The sequence below is a fragment of the Homo sapiens genome, chromosome 11 (assembly GCF_000001405.40).
Source record: "Homo sapiens chromosome 11, GRCh38.p14 Primary Assembly".
NCBI classification, from domain to species: domain Eukaryota; kingdom Metazoa; phylum Chordata; class Mammalia; order Primates; family Hominidae; genus Homo; species Homo sapiens.
Window position 1 is genome coordinate 112,335,787 of NC_000011.10, and position 23,354 is coordinate 112,359,140.

Here is a 23,354-nt window from a genome sequence, read left to right on the forward strand (position 1 = left end):
TGGCCGGACACCCCAAAAAATGTCTTGGTAAGTGATTATAAGGAAAAGTGAAAGGAGTTAGGCTGCCACTGTGAAGTTTACCTGTGGTGGAGGTGAAAGGTGAGGGACAGAGCTGGGAAGCCTGGGTGTAAGCCCTGACTCTAAACAGCTATGTGACCTTGGCACATTTCCTCTGAGACTTTGCTAAGATTGGATTAACTCCTAGCTTTGGATTCCTCCTGGCTTTAAAAGCATATTTCTCTTGACCATGTATGAGACGATGAGGGCTCCTTTGGGGTGAGGGCAGTGGGGGTGGAGTGGATGTGAGAGAAACATCATAGAAATAATTGGCAGGCGTCAATGAAGGATTGTATGGGGTGTTAAAACAACTGGAGCATTCAAAAGGCCTCAGGAGCTTGAGGATGGAGATATTCCACATGGTGATAATGAGTCCTAGGAAGGAAGTCCATTTGCAGGGAGAAAGATGGTGAGTTCAGTTTTAGGTAGTGGGGCATCCAATTAGAGCAATGTAATGATAACCAGAGAGGTTGCTTATCATGAAGGCATCGGCTCAGAGTCAGAAATGTGGATCTGAGAGTCATCTTCATGGGCATGGCATTTGAAACCAAGGGGGATGCTGATGTTGAGAGAAGGAAAAGGAGAAAACAAGTCAAAGAGCCCTGGGAAGTAAAGAGTGAACAAGAGCCACAGGAGAGTTTTGTAGGTGCAGGGAGAAGGAGGCTTCAGCAGGGTGGCGACCCAGTCGTGTGGAACGCAGTGGGGATGCTGGAATGTGTGAGAACAGAAGCATACAGGAGGAGGGTGCTGGCAACTTCTCAGAGAGCAGTGTGCACAGAGGCAAAGGGGTTCAGGAGTGAGTAGCAGCTGAGCAGAAAAGGCAACAGGTGGGGCTTGTTTAAAAAATGATAATTGGCTGGGCACGATGGCTCACACCTGTAATCCCAGCACTTTGGGAGGCTGAGGTGGGTGGATAGCCTGAGGTCAGGAGTTCGAGATCAGCCTGGCCAACATGGTGAACCCTTGCCTCTACTAAAAATACAAAAAATTAGCTGGGCATGGTGGCAGGCACCTGTATTCCCAGCTGCTTGGGAGGCTGAGGCAGAATTGCTTGAACCTGGGAGGCAGAGGTTGCAGTGAGTGGAGATCATGCCACTGCACTCCAGTCTGGGCAACGGAGTGAGACTCCATCTCAAAAAGAAAAAAAAAAAGAAAGAAAGAAAAATGGTAATTGGGGCCAGGTGCAGTGGCTCACACCTGTACTCTCTGCATTTTGGGAGGCCGAGGTGGGAGGATCGCTTGAGCCCAGGAGTTCGACCAGCCAGGACAATATAGGGACACCTTGCTTCTGGAAAAAAAAAAAAAAAAAGCCAGGCATGGTGGTAGTACATGCCTGTGGTCCCAGCTATGTCGGAGGCTGAAGCAGGAGGATTGCTTTGGCTCAAGGGAGTTGAGGCTGCAGTGAGCTATGTTTGTGCCACTGCACTCAAGCCTGGGCAACAGAGCTCAAACAAACAACAAATAAACAAACAACAATAATTAGGCAATAAAGGCAAGAGAAAAAACCTAGGGTAGTAACTTGAGAGACAAGTAGAGTCAGTAGATTCACAAGATGTCTTTCCCCTTCCTCCCTCCTTTCCCTCTTTCCTTCTTTTTCTCTCTCTCCTTCTGTCTCCTCTTTTCAGAATGGGAAAAATCTCAGTTGTGACTGTAAATGAGATCTTGGAAGCACAGGGTGTGCTGGTCCCCTCTGCCACTACCTCCCTGGTGATCTCGATACTTGCTATGGTTTATGCCCCATGAGGTTCCACCCTCATGAATGAGATTAGTGCCCAGTGAGCTCCTCAACCTTTCTGCCATGTGAGGTCACAAGGAGAAGGCGCCATGTAGGAAGTGGGGCAGACTCCAAATCTGCCATGCCTTCATTTTGGACTTCCCAGCCTCCAGAACTGTGAGAAATAAATGTTTGCTGTTTATACTCTGCCCAGGCTAGGGAATTTGGTTATAGCAACCTAAATGGGCTAAGACAATGATCCAGTGGGGAAATTAGGTGAATGATGGTCTGTTCAGGTGACAGTTTTTTTTTTTTTTTCTATAGCTGTTGGCCTCAGATCACTAAGACAGAGATTGAACGATGTCTGGGAGATTCAAAGGATGTCCCAGCTATCAGGGCTTCATTCTCTTATTTCTTAGGCATCAACACCAAAGGGTCTCAATGAAGACGATGGGCACAGCCACCTGTGAGTGTTTGGGCAACAGTGACCCACAGGAGCAGAGGGCAAAAGGAGCCTGGCCCAATCCATGGGACAGGCAGTTTTGTGGTCCTCACAGGCCCTCTGGGGCCATGTCCCCAGCTGCCTCCCCTCTCAGGAGCAAAGAGCTACCTTGACCCCCTGGACCTGCAGTATTTCAGAGTGTGCAAGCCAAGGAATTAGGGAAGTCAAGTGTTGGGGGGATCAGCGTCTTTAAACTCATGTTCTTAAAGTGACTAAAAAGCATAGGACACACATGGGCTGCCACATCATGACTCTTTCAGCTTTCCTTGTTGCCAAACTTCCCACAGGGTTCTGGGGAGCCTCACTGAGCCTGTAGAGTTTCCCAGAGAGCTTGTTATTAATAGGCCATTTGTTCATCTTGCATCTTGTTTAACTCAATCTCAATGATCTGTCTCAAGCAACGGTTTTAAAAATACAGGACCTCCTCGCCTGAGATTCCCATATCCTAAAATGTCTCTGCCTTCAGTCGTCAGCCTCCTGCCTCCCACCCTGACTGGCAGAGCTGCCCCAGGCTGCTGTTAATGATGTGCTTCTCTTTGCCAGGTGGAGATCCCAAGGCTCTCCTGTCCCAGAATGGACCTGGAGAGGAATTGAGGGGTTTAAGCTGCCCTAATCGGACCTGCCCCTTGGACCGATCTGTCCTTTATGTCCCCTCAAGAATGGGTTCCTGATGGAGGCTGGAATGTATTCTGCATGGGAGGCTGGGGGAAGCACAGCTGGCAGGCAGCAGCATCAGGCAGACATCTGCCCACGGCAAGGTGAACACTCCTGCCAGCCAAAGATGTTTGGACTTCTTTCTTGGCCTGTGTTCAAGCCAAGACTGGGCTTCTAGTTGGCGGGAGCCCTGTGGATTTCCTTACTCAGAATGCCCCAAGCCTTATCTTTTATCCTCAGTTCTGCCATGGAAATGGTAAGAGGCTGGCTGCCTTTGAGGTGACCTGAGTCCCTGCGGCTGTGTGGACTCCCGCTAGAAGAGCCCGGGAACTTGGAGGTGGAAGCAGGTCTTCTTGGAGACTGCAAGCCTGAACCCAGCTTCCTGGGAGCACCCACAACTGAGCAGGGGGAGGGTGGGGTTGGGAGAAGTGAGTGCCCTCCAGCACAGAGCACCTTCACATGCGGTCACAGATGCAGGGACTTTTCAAAAACAACAGTGCACCTGCCAGTCCTCATGTTTATCCACTCACAGGATTGATTTTCTAATGAAGTCCTCCTGCTGCATGATTTAGGTTCATTTATATAAATTATACAGTGATTTATTTAATGACCTACTTGGAGCACTATAAATTCTATAGCATCCATGCAATTTATTATTTAAACCCCATATAAATCATGCAAGATGAGGAGACAGAATTGTGTGTAAGGATCATGGGGCCTGGTTCAAATTGTCTTATGGAAGCTCACAGTGGGCTTTGTTTGGAGTGTGGAAAACAAACAGGTACATGAACACATCAGCAATTTTTTTTTGGTAGAGAGGACTAGAAACCTTTGTTTCTATGCTCAAACAAGGCTATCCCACATGGGATTCATGGTTGCTCGGCCCTTAGACTGCAGGATGAGCATGTACAGGCTGCCCTGCTGTTGGAAGGAACCCTTGGGCTCTGTATGACCAGGGACTGTACAATCAGCTCTCTGACATTTCAGAGCTTTGAGATGTGAACTATGCTTCATGCAGAAGTGACAGAATAGGCCCTCAGGCTCTTGTCTAAACCCCAGCGCCTTTGCTTAAAAAATATCCTCTCTTATGTGAAACCACCAGCCCCTTCATCTTCCTTAGTTGGTAAATTCCATCTCCATATTTCCCTCCAGGCAGTAGCAGGGAATGGAAACCTGTGGTTATTTATAAGGAAGTCCTCCCCAAATCTAGGAACAGCATGCTATGACCTAGAAGCACAACAGGCAGGATAACTGTTGATGTGGTGGGTACATCACTCATATACTCACTCATGCACCCATTCACTTATGCATTACTGATTTCAGGTACTCTGTGTGTATCAGAGGAAGAATGAGCTGCTATGTACAATGATTAAGGCAAACTTGAAGTCAGCCAGAAATGGAGTCAAACAGTTTTGGGATCAGACAGCGTCTGCAGCACATAGCTAGGTGGCCTTAGGGAAGTTTTTTTTAATGCCCTGCTAGTAAAATGAGGATAGTAACAGTCCCTACCATCAGAGGTGATTATAGAGAAATAAATGAGATAATGCACATAAAGAATTGATAACAGGGCTTGGCATATGATAGATTCTCAAAAATTTTAGTTATTATTTGACATGAATTCTGCCCTCACAAACTGTAAAATATAGATGAGGATGCAAAAGTAGTGTATAAATGATGATGGCATAAGGTAGAAAAGATAACTACTATTGAAATAGGGCCAGGCCAGGCTTGGTGGCTTATGTCTGTAATTCCAGCACTTCGGGAGACCAAAGCAGGAGGATCGCTTGAGCTCAAGGAGTTTGAGACCAGCCTGAGCAACATAGGGAGAACTCATCTCTAATAAAAAAAAAATTAGCTGGGTTTGATGGTATGTGCCTGTTATTCTAGCTACTCAGGAGGCTCAGGTGGGAGGACTGCTTGGGCCCAGGGAGGTGAGCTATGATCATACCACTGCATTCCTCTAAAAAAATAAAAAAAGAAGAAAGAAAAAAAGAGAAAAAACAAGGAACAGAAGGAACAGATAGTGTGTTGAGCTAAGGGTTTTATTTTTTATTACTTGAGTATTTTGGAATAAGTAAAACATACACATGGTACAAATTAAGAAGGCACAAAAGAGATACAGCAAAAGAGTAAGTCTCCAGCTCACAGCTCTCCCCAGCCAGCCAGATCCCCTCCTTGAATGTAGCCTCTGTTAAGTCTCTTGTGTGTCCTTCCAGAGAGCTTTTGCACAATGAATATATGTGTATGTATATGTGGGTTCTTTCTTTTCACACAAATCTCAGCACACCACCACTGTCCTGACTGGGCACTTTTCTTTCAACACTAAGCAATGTATATTGAAGACCATTCCATGTATGGGCTCATATAGATCTGCCTCATGCCATTCTATTGGACGGAGGACATTGCTGAGTTAACCAGTTCCACCCTGGCAGACTTTTAGTTTGCTTCCGGTATTTTGCCATCACGAGACATACTGCAATTAATATTCTTTCTTGTTGAAGAGTTTCTCAAGCTTCCACAAGTAGATGTGGAATTGCTGGGTCAAGGAGTGTATGCATTTGTAAGTTTTCTAGCAGTTTCCAACATGTGCTTCCAAGAGCTCACACTGCCTTCACTCCCACCAGCAGTGGGATGAGAATGTCTGCTGCTTACTCCCTTGTCAACAAAATGTGCTACCAAACTTTTGACCTTTTTATTTTTAGGGGCCATTCATGTTCTTTTTTTTTTTTTTGATACAAAGTCTCGACCTGTACCCCAGGCTGGAGTGCAGTGGTGTGATCTCGGTTCACCACAACCTCCACCTCCCAGTTTCAAGTGATTCTCCTGTCTCAGCCTCCAGAGTAGTTGGGATTACAGGTGCGCACCACTGCACCTGGCTAATTTTTTGTATTTTTAGTAGAGACGGGGTTTCACCATGTTGGCCAGGCTGGTCTTGAACTCCCGACCTCAGGTAATCCGCCTGCCTCAGCCTCCCAAAGTGCTAGGATTACAGGCGTTAGCCACGGCGCCCGGCTGCCATTCATATTCTTTTAAATGAAGGCTCTTCACTTTCTGTGGAGGAGTCTCTATCACTTTCCCTTGCTGATTGGAAGGAGTTCTTTATATATTGGGGAAAGTAGCCCATTGCCAATGGCATATCATTTACACCACCTCTAGAGCTGCCTATAGTTCCAGTCAAGAGGGGTCCTTGTCTTGGCCCCACTCTGGTCTCCCGTGGACTTACAGTTCTCTATAGGGTGTGGAACCAGTGGAAGTGCTCCCTCTTCTCAGTCACTCTAAGGATACACAGGACCCTGGGATTTCCAGCTCAAACAGCCCCAAGTCCATTATCAGGCTTCTTTCCCAGGTCCATCCTCTGGAGGATGGCTTATGCTGCTAGTGCACACACTCCTGGAACTGTTATTGGTTGTGTATGTGTGCATGTGATTGTATGCATGTACAGAGCATGGACATGCACGCCGCATTGCTCGCAAGCAGGTGTGCAAGGCCCCTTGAGATGGAGATAGGAGTGGGAGAAAAGGGGAAAGGCTGGGGGAGGCTCTTCCAACTACAATACCGTGGTGTGGAACCCTAAGAAGTCAAGAATTCTAAAGTCCATCCTGGCCTTCCAGGTCATTTTGAAGGCCTACTTTGTCAAGGAAGAAGAACAAAAACATCTTTTATTTAATGGTTTATTAGCTTGATTTCTAACTTCTAAATGTGACCTGTAACACATGGGTCTCCATTTGTAATCTTTCCCTGGGCCCTGCCAATGTTAGGGCAGGCCTGACCACTTCTCCTAGAGTCAGCAGAAACTAAAGAGCATCCTGGCATTTGTTTATTTATTTATTTACTTAGATGGAGTCTCACTCTGTTGCCCAGGCTGGAGTGCAGTGGTGTGATCTCGACTCATTGCAACCTCCGCTTCCCAGGTTCAAGCAATTCTCCTGCCTCAGCCTCTCAAGTAGCTGGGATTACAGGTGTGCTCCACCACACCTAGCTAATTTTTTTTTTTTTTTGAGATGGAGTCTCATTCTGTCACCCAGGCTGGAGTGCAGTGGCATGATCTCGGCTCCCTGCAACCTCTGCTTCCCAGGTTCAAGTAATTCTCCTGCCTCAGCCTCCCAAGTAGCTGGGACTACAGGCACAAGATGCCATGCCTGGCTAATTTTTTTGTATTTTAGTAGAGACGGGGTTTCACCATGTTGCCCTATTTTTAGTAGAGACAGAGTTTCACTATGTTGGCCAGGCTGGTCTCGAACTCCTGACCTGAAGTGATCCCCCTACCTTGGCCTCCAGTGCTGGGATTATAAGTGTGAGCCACGCCACCTGGTTAATCCTGACATTTATTTGCAAGTTACTTTGGCATGAAATCACAAGCCTTCAATGCATCATGTATTTCAGAGCTTGAAGGAAGTACAAGAAAGTCATACTCACTTTGGTCAGTTGATATCTTATCCCGATTTTATAGATGGGACAACCTTGGCCCAAGGAAGTATATTGACTTACCCAAAGGTCAGCCTGATTCTTCCCTTTTTCAGTTCCTATGATGCGTTTGCTAAGGGTTCCTGTGAAAACTGCTTAAATATCCAGCATTTTGTTTCACAGTCAAATCAGGTAGTGATCAAGTCTCAAGGAAGAGAGAATACATATGGCTTCAAATGCAGGATCACACTGGATTTTACAGCTGACTGGAACTGTCTGTCTTCAGACGCAGCCTCCGTATGACTACATTTCATAACAGAAGATCCTTCTTTTTGATTTTCTCTTGTGTGATCATCTGGAAGCACATGCACCAGAGAGTTGGAACAGCGCCATTAAAAATATTTATGTTGGTGTGGAGTTGTTTGCATCTTAGCCTGTGTGCTACACTAATAGCACAGTGGCAAACATGACATTTTCCCCAAGTAATTATAGAAATCAGCAGACATTTACAGGGAGTTGGCTGTTCATTGACATGGGAAGCACAGCCTCACAGAATGGGAGTTCTGGAATCATGGTAGCATGGCTTTTTAACCCAATTTGTGCTTCTTCCTGGCAATGACCAGAGTTCCTGCAGAGAGCCAGGCACAGACTTCAGGCCTGGGAAGCAGCCCCAGGTGAAAGGTACTCATAATCTCAGCAGGTGAACTGAGAACACTGTGCTTCTCCTGCCACTCTCCCCTCCCTCCTCCTCGCCTGTGCTAAATGGAGTCTCCAGACCTGTGTGTGTGTTGCGGGTAGGGCAGGGGACCTTCACAGATATGACCCTCCACTTCAGGGAGATTTATCACCCGTCACAGCCCTAGACCAGGCCTGCTGCAGCCTCTGAAGGTCCCCACTGCCCAGAGAGGCTGAGGGGGCAATGTCCATGGGGATGCTGGAGGCACAGTGGGGGTGGGGGCAGACAGGTTTAGGCCCAGGGATCCAGACATCTTGGTCCCTCCGTGCCAGTCACTGTTTATGTTCTCCACTGTCATTTAGGGTGGAAACAGTATCTGCTAAGGTACTTCCCAGGGGGATGCTAAAGTTAGATTTCCCTCAGATGCACTTCTAGTCTTTCTTGTTCCTAAAGGAGAAACTGGGTCACACTGGAATCTAGTTAATATTCAGCATGGTGTGGCAGAAACATTCAGAGTCCAGAGCCAAACACCAAACAGGCTCAGGACTGAGCCTGGCTCTCCCTCACCAGCCAATCAATTTCTCTGAGCCTCAGTTTCTTCCTCTGTTAACAGGGAATGATAATGTTTATCATTTAAAAGGAGGTGATACAGGATGTGCTGACCGCAGTTTGCATTGCTCAGTAGCTGCTGTTTTTAGAACTCTACAATGCTAAAATATTTTTAACTTTACAAAGAACCATCCCTTGGCTTCTTATGAAGCCTCAGAGCTATACTGGAAGGGAAGAAGGGTGGGTATGATCCCCCTGTGGCAGAGGAGGAGGGTAAGGCTCAGAGAGGTCTTTACAATTTAATGTGGCAAATATTCTTGATCATCTGCTGGGTTCAGAGCACCAGACCTTCCACACGCAATTCCTGTCCTTGAGAAGTTTGTAAGCTAATGAGCAAGGGTGACACTTGCGGTCAAATACATGCTCACCGAGGGGAGGAACTTTGGCCTTGCTCACTGCTGGATCCTGAGTGGTCCATAAATGTTTGTTGGCTGAATGTATGGCATGATTCTAATGCGAGACACAAGGAAGGGTCATAGCAAATTTACACACTCAGAAGAGGGAAGAGGAATTCCAACTAGGAAACATGGGAGTGCTTCCAGGAAGCAGTCACATTTGGTCTGGGCTTTGAAGTGCTGGCTGGATCTTGACAGGCTGAGATGGGAAGGAAGGATATTTCTAGAAGCAGGAAAACAGGGGTGAAAGCACTGACCTGCCAATGTAGGCTCCATTAAGGAAGCATGAGCGATGTGTCTTGGTTGGAGTTTGGGGTGTGTGATGCCCAAGTTGGGGCCAGTAGTTGGGAGACCTTATGCCCAGGTTGCCCAGAAAAAGTCCCACTTTATGACTCTCGTGGCTCAGTGAACAGCTGTTAATGATTCCTGTTGTCTCTTTTTACTTTCAAAATTGTTCCAGTTTGAAAGATACATCATGTGCTCCCTCTGTCTATAGCGAGAGATGAGGTTATGAGGAAGACTTAGGAAGGGATTAAGGGAAGGAGCCCAAAGAGTCTGGACTTAAACACTTGGCTGGGGTCCCACACTCCAATGTTTACAGTGGCCCTGATGTGGGTGAACAGCTGAAGCTGGTGGGGTGAGCAGCTGCTGCAACCCAGCTCCAGCTGATGGCTCCAGGTAGATATACGGACCCTTGCCAGCTCTCCTGGTACTTGAGAAAAGCCAGAAACCTGAATTTTTATATGCATTTCCTGATATTAAAATTATCATTCAAAAATTTTACAAACACTACGTAGGTCAAACAAAACTTATCTACACACTGCGTCTGGCCTGAGCCCATGGCTCTGTCCCTCTGCTGGGTGGTGGGGAGCTGGGGGAGATTTCTGAGGAGGGGAGTGGCCTGGCGAGAGCTAAATGTCCCCCTCACCCAGGTGTCAAGGTGGCGTCAGGAGGCATGAGGTTAGAGGGAGGAGTGCCATTAGGCGCTCTTTGACACAGTCCAGCTGGGTCACAAGGCAGATCTGAACAAGGGTGGGGCAGTGAGGATGCAGACGGACAACAGATGCCAGGCACAAAAGAGGCCTGTAGGGGGAGAAGCTGGCCCCTGCCTGGGCCTGGAAGGTGTTGGGGGGAAGGGTGCAGTGAAAATGAGGTGGGAGGCCTCCAGTAGGTTTGTGGCTTTCATGCTGTGAAAGTCACAGTCTCCACAGCAGGCCAGAGGGTCCTCGGGCCCCAGGCCTGTGAGGCTTTGCTTCCTCTTAGGGAGGTCCTGCCTGGAATTCAACAGCAACTTTGGTGAGAGAGGAGATCCTGGGAGCTCTGGTGGTGCTAATACCGGAGGCTAGCTCCTCTGGGCAGGGAAGCCAGCTGCCTCTGAGTTGAGCCGGTCACTGAGCTGGCTCAAAGGGTGGAACGACGTGGTTTCAGTCCCGGGGGGTGCGCTGCCTTCACAGGTGGCCTCTGGTGATGTGTGAGGAGCCCATTATAAGCTTGGTTAACTTATCTGGGGGACATATGCCATCTCTGAGCCCTCACCAGCAGCATTTATGGTTCAGAAGATATATATTTTTTCTTTTTTAGAGAGCAGGTATTTCAGATAGCTGCAAACACAGCCATCTCCTCACTGGGCCGCTTCCTGCCACCACAGCATAACTTGCTGATTCTGAGTCAAGCGATAATCCAGGCCATTGAAGTCAGAGGTGGACTTCTTATCCTGGGGCATTGAGCAAGGGATGGGTCAGCAAAGCCAAAGCCAAGTCTGGAAGGAAGCGGTCACAGAGGATCCTTTCTCTACTCCCTGGCCCTGTGTTCACTGTCTCATTGCACCCACCTCATGCCTCGCTCTTGTCCGTCAACTCATCTGCCTGCCTCCCTCACCAGGCCATGAGCTCCTTATGGGGAAGGAGCGCATCCATTGTTTGTCTCAAAACCAGCACAGTGACTACATCAGGGAAGGAGCACAACAAATGCGTGAATTAGCAGCAGCAGCTGCAGCAGCAAACACTGATTTTTATCAAATGCTGGTTACCTGTCCAAGCCCTTTACAAATACTTTACTAAGTCTCATTTTACAACTATTCTGTAATGTAGGTACTATGTTGTGTCCACAAGAGGCTTAGCAAGGTTAGGTATCTTGCCCGTGGGACACAGCTAAAAAATATTGAAGTTGGTCTTTGACCCCCAAATCTGCTGATCCTAGAATTAATGCTCTTACCACCATATAATCATGTGCCATTGATCTGATGTTTATTATTGCTAATTCTCACCATGGCCTTGTGAGGCGGATCTTATATTATCCTCCTATTATAGGTGAGGAAACTGAGACTCCAAGGGGAGAGGAGAGATAGGGCAGCAAACTGGAGAAAACAGACCAAATCAAGTATCAATCAAACTGTGACCTATTACAGGCAAGAAACACATACCTGCTAGACAGTGCTGACTGTGACTCTATGTAGGACACTGAGTCTTCACTCAGTAAAATACTGTTCTGATGGAGAAGAAATAATTTTGTGCCATTGCCATTCTTCTTCTTCCCTCTAACATTGTGTAAGTGCAATGTAGGGATGAGCGCCAGACCGTTTGGGTTTAAATCCTAGCCCCACCATTTAATAGCAGTATGATATGGAACAAACTCCTCAACCTCCCTGTACCTCAATTTCCCTATCTGTAAAATGGGGGTAAGGATGACTCCTATCTTACAAGGTTTTTGTGAGGCTTAAAAATGAAGAAATACCTATGTAACAGGATGTGTAAAAAGTTTCTGCCATGGCACCAAGATACAATAGAGGCTGAAATGCAAAGATGGAGTTATACCCAGACTACAGTAGATGAACAGCAACTAGTTCACTACTTCTTGAACTCCATAATCATAGGAGCATACTAAAGGGCTGAGAGAGATTGAGAAGTATTTTTCTGAGAGAGTTGTGGGTGAGCTGGGGGTCCTTCCCCATCCTCCCCAATTCCCAGGGGGAGTGGTGGAGAGGTGACCACTCGGAGAGCCTGAAGAACCTCCTACCACTGGGAACACGGAGGCCTGGGCATGGCTCATGACTGAGGCAGCAGAGTGGAAGATGGCATCTGGAAGCAGTCACATTCCTCTCCCATAGCAGGTCACACCTGCACCCTCGGCCAGGTATGAGATTTGTAGGCTGAAGGAGGCCAGAAAATGTATCCGGCCAAGAGAGGGCTCCCAACACTAGCATTAAGGCACTGTGGGGTGTCCCTGTTGGGGGCAGTAGCTGGATGTGATGGTTAATTTTATGTGTCACATAATTTTCTGGCCACAGAGTGCCCAGACAGTTGGTTCAACATCATCCTGGGTGTGGCTGTGTGTTTCTGGATGAGATGAACATTTAAATTGCTAAACTGAGTAAAGCAGGTTGCCTTCCCTAATGTGGTCTCATCCAATCAATTGAAGACCTGAATAGAACAGAAAAGCTGAGAAAAGAGGGAATTCCTTTGTCCTGACTGCTTTGAGCTGGGACACTTGTCTTTTTCTGCTTTGGAGCTGCACCGAAACATCAGCTCCCTTTGGTCTTTAGCCTGCTGGCTTTTGGGTTAGAACTACACCATCAGCTCTCCCAGGTCTCCAGCTTGCCAACTGTAGATCTTGGGACTTCTCAGCCTCCATATTTGGGCAATCCAATCCTCTATCTGTCTGTCTGTCTGTCTGTCTGTCTATCTATCTATCTATCTATCTATCTATCTATCTATCTATCTATCTATCTCTATCATCTATCTATCTACCCTCTCTCTTTCTCTCTATCTCTATCATCTATCTATCCATCCATTCATCCATCCACATCCTATTGGTTCTGTTGCTCTAGAGAACCCTGACTAATACACTGAAATTGAGGGGGAGGACAGGAAATGCTAGCAGAAGAGGCGCTGCCCTTATTGAGGAACCCATGAAAGTGCCACATAAGAAACGTGGTTGGTGTTAAAGCCCTGCCAGGTCCTGGGAGTGAGAGCCATCTTAAGTCAGGGCCAGTCTGGGTGTGAGACGGGAGGCGAAGGAGCAGTAAGTGAGATGGGAGGAACAGAGGGAGAAAAGGAGAAGCTGATGACACCTGCTTCCCACGCGGCCACTGGCCCCTTTGGCTGGTGAGGAGTAGAAACTGCCAGGCAGGAAAAAAAAGGTCACATATCAATTCAGGCTCCTGAGAGGCAGAGATTTGTTAGGGGAAATACCTATGAAGGATAAAGGGAAAGGAAGCAAGTTTAGGCATAAAGGCTTTGGTCCATGGTTCAGGAGTGGGAAAGAAGGAGGACTGGGTAGGAAAAGTCTCAGATGCAGTGCAGTGGGGAGTGGGTCTGGGCAAGGCTGGCTAGTCCCCTCTCTGGCCCTGGCCAAGGTTGCCCAACAGAAGAGTTCCTGGCAGGCAGCAATGGCCTGGTTCTAGCACCTTTGCAGCACTCAGCTTTTAGATGGGGGCGTCCCTGGGAACTATAGCCTTGGTGCAAATGTGGGGCAGATCCCAAGTGTGGCTCCTGGGCTGTCAGTCAACTCTGCTCCTCTTGGTGGGTTTTCCTGAAAGAGGTTTGAGTGGCTACCCCCATGGCCACCACAGACCACACCCCCATACCACTTTGTTTGTTCCCCACGGTCACACATGCTTCAAAAAGCCCCCACGCTGCAGAGCTCAGCTGGACACGGGAAGAACATTTCACCTTTTAGTCAAGTCTTTACTTTTGGTTATTGCGTGGAGTTGAACCATTGTAATTGTGGACTTAAGGCTGTTTGTACTTTAAAGTGACTCCAGAAGTTTTATTAAGGGGCCAAAAGAACCATGTGGACTGAGGTTTTATCCAAGAAAGCCCACCCCCACTGAGGAGGCATAAATAAATTGTGAGACTCAGAGTAAAAATACCTTTGTGTCATCACTTCCTGAGTCCTTCTTGTTCAATGCAATGGTTACAGCTATAAAGTGCTTAGAATAGTGCCTGGCCTACAGTAGCCACTCAGTAGCAGAGGTTAGCTTTAGGCAACCTGGAGGTCCTGGAAAGAGGAGAGAGGAGAGACTGGGGACAGGAAAGGAAGGGGGAAAGCAGAAGGAGACGGAGGCAAATGTGTCAGTGTGGATATCCAGCCCTATTTCTAGAAGCTGGGCTCTGGGATGCCCCACTCAAGCATGAGGCCTGGTCTGCTTCCAGCTCTGGGAGGGACCTGGGGCTGAGAGGGAATGGCAGAGGTTCCATCTCTGGAATCAATTGGTTCATGAAGCCACTGTGTTTGGAGGAGGCAGAGCCCAATGTGTCCAGCTGGCTGAAGCCAACTCTCTGAGGAGTGTGTGTACTTCCCTGGAGGAGTGGGTATGTGTTTTAGGTTTCAGAGAATGACCCCCACGCTGGCCCTACACCAGCATCAGCCATCTCCATCGAGCCCTGCCAGTGGCTATGAAAAGATCTGTATAAGTGAAAAGTCCATTCCTGTCTCAAGGTGCCAAAAATATAGGTAGGAGGAAAAGATGTGAATAGAAATTTGATAATAAGGACTTAAAAGCTCAAACTAAAATCTCCAGGTGACAATGAAGAGGACATCAGGATGTTGTAAACTTCACTGCCCTGTGAGTGCTTCAGGCCAGGGTTGCTGTAGGAGTTCAGCGTGGAGGGACCGTTGGACCTGGAGTCGGACAGGTGGAGTTAGGATCGCATTTCTAGCCTCACTTTCTGGTGACCTTGGACAAAATTCCTTAACCACTCTGAGCTTCAGTTTCCTAACCTGTAAAGGGGACATAGAATACAGGATGGGGCTTGAGCTGCATCTTTCACTATGAGGAGAGTTTGGTGTGTTTCTTATCACAAGGTAGATTATAGGGTGTGGGCCATCACAGTAGAGAAAAAGCTTGGAGGAGGGAATGTTTGTGGTATTTTGGTCAAAAGTGCCTGTAAACCTCTGATTCGGATGGGGGTAAGATACATAAAGTTGAATGGAAAGCTGATTTGGATGTTGACATTGTGGGGGTCCTTGAATTCCAGGATCCTAGTAATAGCTATGATCACTTAGCTAGTAGCATGGGCTGAATTGTGACCCCTCAGCCACCCTTGGCCAAATTGATATTTGAAGCCGTAGCCCCCAGTACCTCAGAATGTTACTATATTCGGAGACAGGATCTTTATACAGGTAAGTAAGGTAAACTGAAGTCATTAGGGTGAGCCCTGATCCAGTATGACTTGCATCCCTTCAAAAAGAGATTAGGGCACAGCATGTACAGAGGGAAAACCATGTGAAGACGTGGGAAGAAAATGGCCATTCACAAGCTGAGGAGAGAGGTCTGGAACAGATCTTTCCTTTATGGCCCTCAAAAGAAACCAACTGATTGACACCTTGATCTTGGACTTTCCAGACTCCAGAACTGTGAGACATTTCCGTTTGAGCCACCCAATCTGCAATATCTTGTTATGGCAGCCCTAGCAAACTAACATAGCTAGTGTAAGCACTTTACATGTGTAATTTTATCAATTGCAGTGGGAGCATTCTTTTCTTTTCTTTTTTTTTTATTATACTTTAAGTTCTGGGATACATGTGCAGAATGTGCTGATTTGTTATGTAGGTGTACACGTGCCATGGTGGTTTGCTGCACCCATCAACCCATCATCTACATTAGGTATTTCTCCTAATGCTATCCCTCCTGACAGGCCCTGGTGTGTGATGTTCCCCTCTCTGTGTCCATGTGTCTCATTGTTGAACTCCCACTTATGAGTGAGAACATGCAGTATTTGGTTGTCCGTTCCTATGTTAGTTTGCTTAGAATGATGGTTTCCAGCTTCATCCATGTCCCTGCAAAGGACATGAGCTCATCCTTTTTTATGGCTGCATAGTATTCCATGGTGCATATGTGCGACATTTTCTTTATCCAGTCTATCATTGATGTGCATTTGGGTTGGTTTCAAGTCTTTGCTATTGTGAGCACTGCTGTAATAAACATACGTGTGCATGTGTCTTTATAGCAGAATGATTTGTAATCCTTTGGGTATATACCCAGTAATGGGATTGCTGAATCAAATGGTATTTCTAGTTGTAGATCCTTGAGGAATTGCCACACTGTCTTCCACAACGGTTGAACTAATTTACACTCCCACCAACAGTGTAAAAGCATTCCTATTTCTCCACATCCTCTGTAGAATCTGTTGTTTCCTGACTTTTTAATGATTGTCATTCTAACTGGCGTGAGATGGTATCTCATTGTGGTTTTGATTTGCGTTTCTCTAATGACCAGTGATGATGAGCGTTTTTTTCATATGCTTGTTGGCCGCATAAATGTCTTCTTTTGAGAAGTGTCTGTTCATATCCTTGATGGGGTTGTTTGTTTTTTTCTTATAAATTTGTTTAAGTTCCTTGTGAATTGTGGATATTAAACCTTTGTCAGATGGGTAGATTGCAAAAATTTTTCCCCATTCTGTAGGTTGCCAGTTCACTCTGATGATAGTTTCTTTTGCTGTGCAGAAGCTCTTTAGTTTAATTAGATCCCATTTGTCAATTTTGGCTTTTGTTGCCGTTGCTTTTGGTGTTTTAGTCATGAAGACTTTGCCCATGCTTATGTCCTGAATGGTATTGCCTAGGTTTTCTTCTAGGATTTTTATGATTCTAGGGCTTACATTTAAGTCTTTAATCCATCTTGAGTTAATTTTTGTATAAGGCGTAAAGGAAGGAGTCCAGTTTCAGTTTTCTGCATATGGCTAGCCAGTTTTCCCAGCCCCATTTATTTAATAGTTAATTCTTTCCCCATTGCTTGTTTTTTTCAGGTTTGTCAAAGATAAAAATATAGAATGCTTCACGAATTTGCATGTCATCCTTGCACAGGGGCCATGCTAATCTTCTCTTTATCGTTCCAATTTTAGTATATGTGCTGCCGAAGCGAGCACGGGAGCGTTATTTTCACTATAGAGTGGTTACAGTCTTGAGCTGACTTCTTGGTTTTGTTCCTGACTTCACCATGTATAGCTTGGACATCAAATGCAGATGATGATGGCAATGGAGGTGGGGTTGGGAAGTGGCGTGTGAGTGGTGGGGAGATTTACTTAGAACTGAAGCAGGATGAAGCCATACACTGTCTAAAGTACATGCCCTGGACTTGGTCTCTAGATGACATCTATGAGCCCCGTCATCCCTGGAAAACTTCTTTACTGCTTTTACCTGGATCCTGACCCAGATCTCTCTATAATTTGCCACTGAAGTGTTTTTGTGTCTCAGTAGCACCTGCCTGTGATAGCTGTGCATTGATAAGTCCTCCATGTAGCCTGCATGCTCTGCTCTGCTGTCCTCAGCCCTCAGTCCCCTTCCCCAGCTGCCATGACCAACTTCCCTGTGCATAACAAGGTGTTAGTCATCAACTGGGTGCGGGGGTGAGGGAGGAAGAGTCAAATGGGATTGAATAGTGTTGAGTCGACTTGAGCAAAAGAGACACCATTAATGGAGGAAAAATGATATGTAAGATGGTATTACACATGGCTTTTTAAAGCATAGGGGACTGGTGGTCAGTAAAGAACTGAATGCAGTCAGAATAAGAAGATTGACTAACTTCATTGACTTTTAAAAAATATGTATATTTTTAATAGTTTTCTTCATTTAAAAGAAACATTTATTATAAGCAATTTAGAAAATTTCTCTCAGAGAAGTGAAAAGAGAGAGAAAAAATTTACCCATATTCTGATCACAGAATAACTGGCACACTGAGCAAGTGGAAATCCCCAAAGTGTAAACAAACAACTTTCAAACTGTTTTTCAAACTGTTGTTCAAGCTGGTTCAAACCTGCTCTCTGCCTGGTACTGTTTTGTTCCTTTGGTAAATCTAGGGCAGATGTCTTGACTCCTTTTTCCCCTGTCAAATAAGGGAAGTTCTCTTATAACTTTTAATCACAAAAACTCTGTCAGTGATTTAATTAATTAATTAATTTGTTATTGAGATGGAGTCTCACTCGCTCTGTCACCCAGGCTGGAGTTCAGTGGTGAGATCATGGCTGACTTCAACCTCCACCTCCTTGTTCAAGTGATTCTCCTGCCTCAGCCTCCCAAGTAGCTGGGACTACAGGTGCCTGCCACCACACCTGGCTAATTTTTGTATTGTTAGTAGAGATGGGTTTTCACCACGTAGGCCACATTGGACTTGAACTCCTGATCTCAAGTGATCCGCCTGCCTTGGCCTCCCAAAGTGCGGGATTACAGGTGTGAGCCACCGCTCCTGGCCTCTGTCAGTGATTAAAATGTCCATTCTGTGTAGAAGCAAAATTCAATATTTAAAATTTCTCTGTAACAAAGACTGACAACTGTCCACCAAAATCCATTTTCCCTTATAATAAAAGTTCTAATCTCATGGCTGGCCAGCAGACTCAATTTCCCAGTCTTCCTTGCAGTTAGAAGTGGCCGTGTGACTGAGGTCTAGCCAATGGAATGTGAACAGAGGGATAGGTTTCATTTCCAGGCCTGTCCCAGAAACACTTCCCATGTGTGCTTCTTCATACTATCTCCTCTTTCTGGTTGGCTGACATGGGAGTGATCCAGATCTCTCTATAATTTGCCACTGAAGTGTTTTTGTTTCTCAGTAGCACCTGCCTGTGATGGCTGTGCATTGATAAGTCCTCACGTAGCCTGCATGTGGGAGCTGTCTGTTAAAGATCATCAGTGTGGGACTCTAACTGCGTGGATGAAGCAAAGCCCACTGCTTTCCCTACTACCCTAACCTGGCACTTTCCTGTACTGTTATATGAGCAAGAAACAGACTTGTACTGTGTTGAGTCACTGCATGTTTGGGACTTTTTGTTACTGCAGCCTCTCACACTCTAACTGATACGCTCTCCAGCTGTGGTCTGTCAGGCTAAAAGCCTGCACTGGGAAAAGGAGGCACAATGAGCTCTCTACTATCCTGCTTGGTACCTCCTCACCCCATCCTCAATCTACTGACTTACTAACTGCAGTTTCTGAACACTGTAGGGTTGGCTGGAGCATAGAGGAAGTGGGAGAGGCAGGAAAGAGCTTACTTGGCTGGGACTGTCATGATCTTGCTGTTTTGGTGCCCCCATTGTTTTGGTAGACATTCAAAGTTGACCCTTTTTCTTGTGGGTTGCTTTTGTGGGGTGTGCTAGATATCTTTATTTGTCTCTCCATAGCCAACCTCTCATCCTCCTTCACCCTGCTTTGTTTCCTGGGCTGGTGCATGTAGAATGTATCAAAGGGCTCCCTTACCTTTCAGTGTCTGCTTGAGTTTGGTGAGTGGGGATCCCTGGCAGGAGTCTGGAGAGAGTCAGGGGAGAGAGGCTGGGGTAGTTATTCCCCTGGTTCCCTCTCTGTGGGGTCGACATCGTCTGGCTGCATCCCTCCATTGAAGGTTGCAGCTCCCAGCAGGTTCTCTGTAGACACTCCTCCCTGTACCTGGGCTCCCAGTTCTGCCCTATTAGGATGCTAAGGCTGTTATTAGCTTCAGAACACTGCACTATTCCCCCAAGGTCTTCTGCCCCACTCACAGCTTCATACATAATCTTTTTATTAATCTCTCCTCAAATGATCTAATTTGAGTGCCACCTATTCTGCTATGCCCCTAATACAGTGGGTTTTTTGAGATGCCCTCACCTGAAGCATCCAATAGTGTGCACTTCTGCTGATGTGGGTGATGCATCTGCTATGCTGCTGCTTATAATTTGTCCCTCGGCTCCTGAGCATTCTGTTATCTGTCCTTTCCAAGTGCTTCAGAGAAATGGGGGCTCAGAGATTTTCTGTGACTTGCCCAGGGCCCCAGGGTTAGTGGGTGGTTGAGCTGGTGCTCTTCTCCCTGCCATGTGCCACTTACATTACCAATCACTTTCCCAAAAACAGTTCTGCCAGGCTGTACACCAGCTAAAAAGTGAAATAATCCTATTTTTCAGCCTGAATCGAGTGCTACATGGATAAAAGAGTGAGTTGATGGAGCTGGCCTTGGGCAAGCTCATTCTTCGGCATGTGGACAAATGCCTGACAAGATGATTATGTCAGGAAGTTGCAGGAAGGAGACAGAACAAGCAATTTAGGCCTGGATTCTGCTGTGCTCTTGCCAAATGAGATAGCCAGGGACTCAGTGAGAGGAGGTGCCAGCAGGGGGCCCTCTGGGCAGGTAGGTGTGGCCAACTGGCCATGTTTGCAAACACTTCAGCTTGAGTGGAGGCTGAATCTGCCACCACCACCTCCTCCCTAGCCCTAAAAACATCGTATACTACTTGGGCATCTCTTGGCAAAGGCAGCGTTGACTCACAGCCCCTCAGCCTTAAATCCTAGAGGCAGTGTGGGATGCGGCCATTGCTCTGTTGCCTGACGCTCCCTAGAGAGCAGAGCTCTTGCCAGCCCCTCAGCCTGGGTTTTCCCCAAAGCAGATCCAAGTGGATCCAACTGAGGCAATTGCAGACATCAGGAGTTGCTCCCTCGGGGTGCCTTCTTTGACCCCACCCATGGGCTGGGTACTGCTCCTAGATGCTTTCATGAGGCCCTGTTCTTATAACCTCTCTTATTTCTTTTATTTATTTACTTATTTTTTTTTGAGATAGGATCTTACTATGTTGCCCAGGCTGGAGTGCAGTGGTAATATCACAGCTCACTGCAGCCTCAACCTCCCAGGGTTCAGGTGATCCTCCCACCACAGCCTCCTGAGTAGCTGGGACTACAGACATGCACCACCTTGCCCAGCTAATTTTTTTGTATTTTTTGTAGAGTTGGGGTTTCGCCATGTTGGCCAGGCTGGTCTCAAACTCCTGGGCTCAAGTGATCCACTCACTTTGGCCTCCCAAAGTGTTGGGACTACTGGTGTGAGCCACTGCGTCCGGCCATCCTTTATTATTTCAACAAATATTTATGAACACTGACTACTGTTGACCTTTCATATCTGTGGATTCTGCATTTGCAGATTCAACCAACCTTGGATTTAAAATATTTGGAAAAAATACAAATAAAAAATACAGTATAATAACTATTTACATAGCATTTACATGGTATTAGGTATTATAAGTAATCTAAAGATGATTTAAAGTGTAAGGGAGGATGTGCATAGGTTATATGCAAATATTACATCATTTTATGTGAGGGACTTGTGCATCCTTGGATTTTGGCATCTGTGGGGGATCCTGGAACCCATCCCCCTGGATACTGGACGGTGACTATGTGCCTAGGCCTATGCTAGAGCCTCGTTCTAAAATTTAGACTCTCTTGTAAGTAACACTTGTTATCATTGTTTTGTAATTATTTCTTTACCCCAGAAGACACCAGGTAAATCACTGGCTTAAAAAATTTAAATATTCTTATTTTTAGCTTGGCTAGAATGCTGCATGAATTTTGGGAGGCTGTGTCTTTTTGTTATTTTAAAAATATTTTATTAAAAAATCTTTGTAGCCTAGTGCCTTGTGCATTACCTACAAACAGAAGATACTCCATCCATGTTTACTAAATTAATGAATGGATGTGGCATTTGGTGTCGGCTATTGAATAAGCTGGGGCTTGGGGATTCCTTGGCAGTTGTTTTTTTTCTTTCTGTCAGGGGAGGAAAGCAAGTCTGTCAAGTGCTGTTCAATGAGATATCCAAGGCCATGGGCAGAGCTGAGCTCAGAGCTCAGAGTTCCTGGAGTGTCCACACCTCTCTCCTTTGTGCTTCTTGCAGCTCCTGTACCCCTTACCCTGGGGCAGCCAGTATGAATGCATGAGGCACATGTGGGGACTCTGCTTCTGAGTTCGGATACTGCATGCCATCACCATTATCCCTGAATGTTCCAGATGAGAACACTGAGATCCAGAGCTGCCGCCCCTCAAGGCCTCTAGGCAGAGAGGTGGAGTGGAGGCTAAGTCTGTTACCCTTCAGCCACCCAGCACTGCTATGCCAATGGGTTTACCATTTCAGTGCCTCCTCACTGGTCTAAGTGACAGACACTGACATTCACACATTCTCAGCCAGGGTGGGTGGCATCATGCCATGGATGGCACCAAATTGGGTGTTGGGGAAGTACTGCTGTGTCCCTTCCCTCCAGCTCTCCCAGCTCATTGGCCCCAGCTGTGCATGTAGCAGGGGCTCAGGAAATAGGTATGGGAATGAACGGAGTAATCTGCCTCAGGAATCTTAGAACAACACAAAAACAACCTTACCAACAGTACTTGGTCTAACACTTCATAGTCCTCTAAGTGGTTTCACTGTGTTATCTTGTTTCATGTACCTGCTCTCATTTGAAATTGTTGCAGGGTATAAGCATATAATTAAAATACCAATTAAGCCACATTCTGAAATACATCAGGCTGTGTGTGAGCATGAATTAGGAAAAAGTCAAATGACAATTCATCAATCTAGGACTCATTCCCCAGGTGCAATCCACAACCTACCTCCTCTGCATCCCAGTTTTGCTCCAGGTATGTTACAGTCCTCACTGCACTGTGCCTTATTAATTGTTCGTCATGTTGCTCTCTTGTCTCCTCTTTCGGGAATTCTTCCTCCCTTTTCTGTATGTGAAAGAAAATCTTCCTTAATCTTCAAAGCTCTGGTCCTGGAGTTCCAATTTTGTTTGTGCTTTCGTAACACCTTTCTCCCCGCTCCATTCTTGCAGACTTTGCTATTGCTCTGGATGCTGCCGCAGGCCTGCACTGTATCACTTCTTACATTGTATTGTAATGATTAACTTTTTCCTTTCCTTTCCTTTCTTTTTCTTTTGCTTTTTTGAGACAGAGTCTCACTCTGTCACCCAGGCTGGAGTGCAGTGGTGCAATCTCAGCTCACTGGCAACCTCCACCTCCTGGGTTCCAGCGATTCTCCTTCCGCAGCCTGCCAAGTAGCTGGGATTACAGGCGTCCACCACCAAGCCTGGCTAATTTTTTATTTTTTAGTGGAGATGGGGTTTTGCCCTGTTGACCAGGTTGATCTTAAACTCCTGACCTCAAGTGATCTGCCCAACTTGGCCTCCCAAAGTGCTGGGATTACAGGCGTGAGCAACTGTGCTCTGCCTGTAATGACTAATTTTGTTCCATCGCATCAGACTGAGCACCTTGAGGGTAGGGCTATTTTATTACCTCTAGTGCCTGGGACCCTATAGGCATTGAATGCATATCTGTTAGATGAAAAAATGGATGTTCCTGGGGCACTTGGTGGCCTGGTCAAGTCCTTGGCTGATTGGCATTTGTTAACCTTGCTGTTCCCCTCATCCCTCAGCCCAGTGCCCAACAGAGCAGGCTTCCTGGTGGTTAGGCCAGCACTGGGAGTATAGCCCTGTTTCGGCACAAAGCTGCTTGCCAGGTAAAGAATAAATCTCAAATGTTATAAGCTGCGTGCTTTATTTTTTAATCATTTAAAAAAACCCCAAAACTGTAAAACAAAAAACCCCACAAACACCACAAAAATCCATTCTCTTG

At 46.4% G+C, this 23,354-nt stretch overlaps 2 long non-coding RNA genes and 1 pseudogene across 2 annotated transcripts in view; 2 read left to right on the forward strand and 1 right to left on the reverse strand.

Moving 5' to 3' along the window:
* The window catches only part of LINC02762 (long intergenic non-protein coding RNA 2762), a 91,786-nt gene that overhangs the window by 65,038 nt on the left and 3,394 nt on the right, over nt 1-23,354 (forward strand). Inside the window, exon 3 of the long non-coding RNA NR_126004.1 lies at nt 22,317-22,361. This is a non-coding gene — a long non-coding RNA (long intergenic non-protein coding RNA 2762). The remainder of the gene's footprint in view (nt 1-22,316; nt 22,362-23,354) is intronic.
* Nucleotides 1,498-7,748, forward strand: LOC107984388 (uncharacterized). Its single transcript, XR_001748386.1, has 2 exons — nt 1,498-3,031; nt 7,515-7,748. It is a non-coding gene; the product is annotated as an uncharacterized LOC107984388 (long non-coding RNA).
* On the reverse strand, nt 16,771-16,876 carry RNU6-44P (RNA, U6 small nuclear 44, pseudogene; annotated as a pseudogene).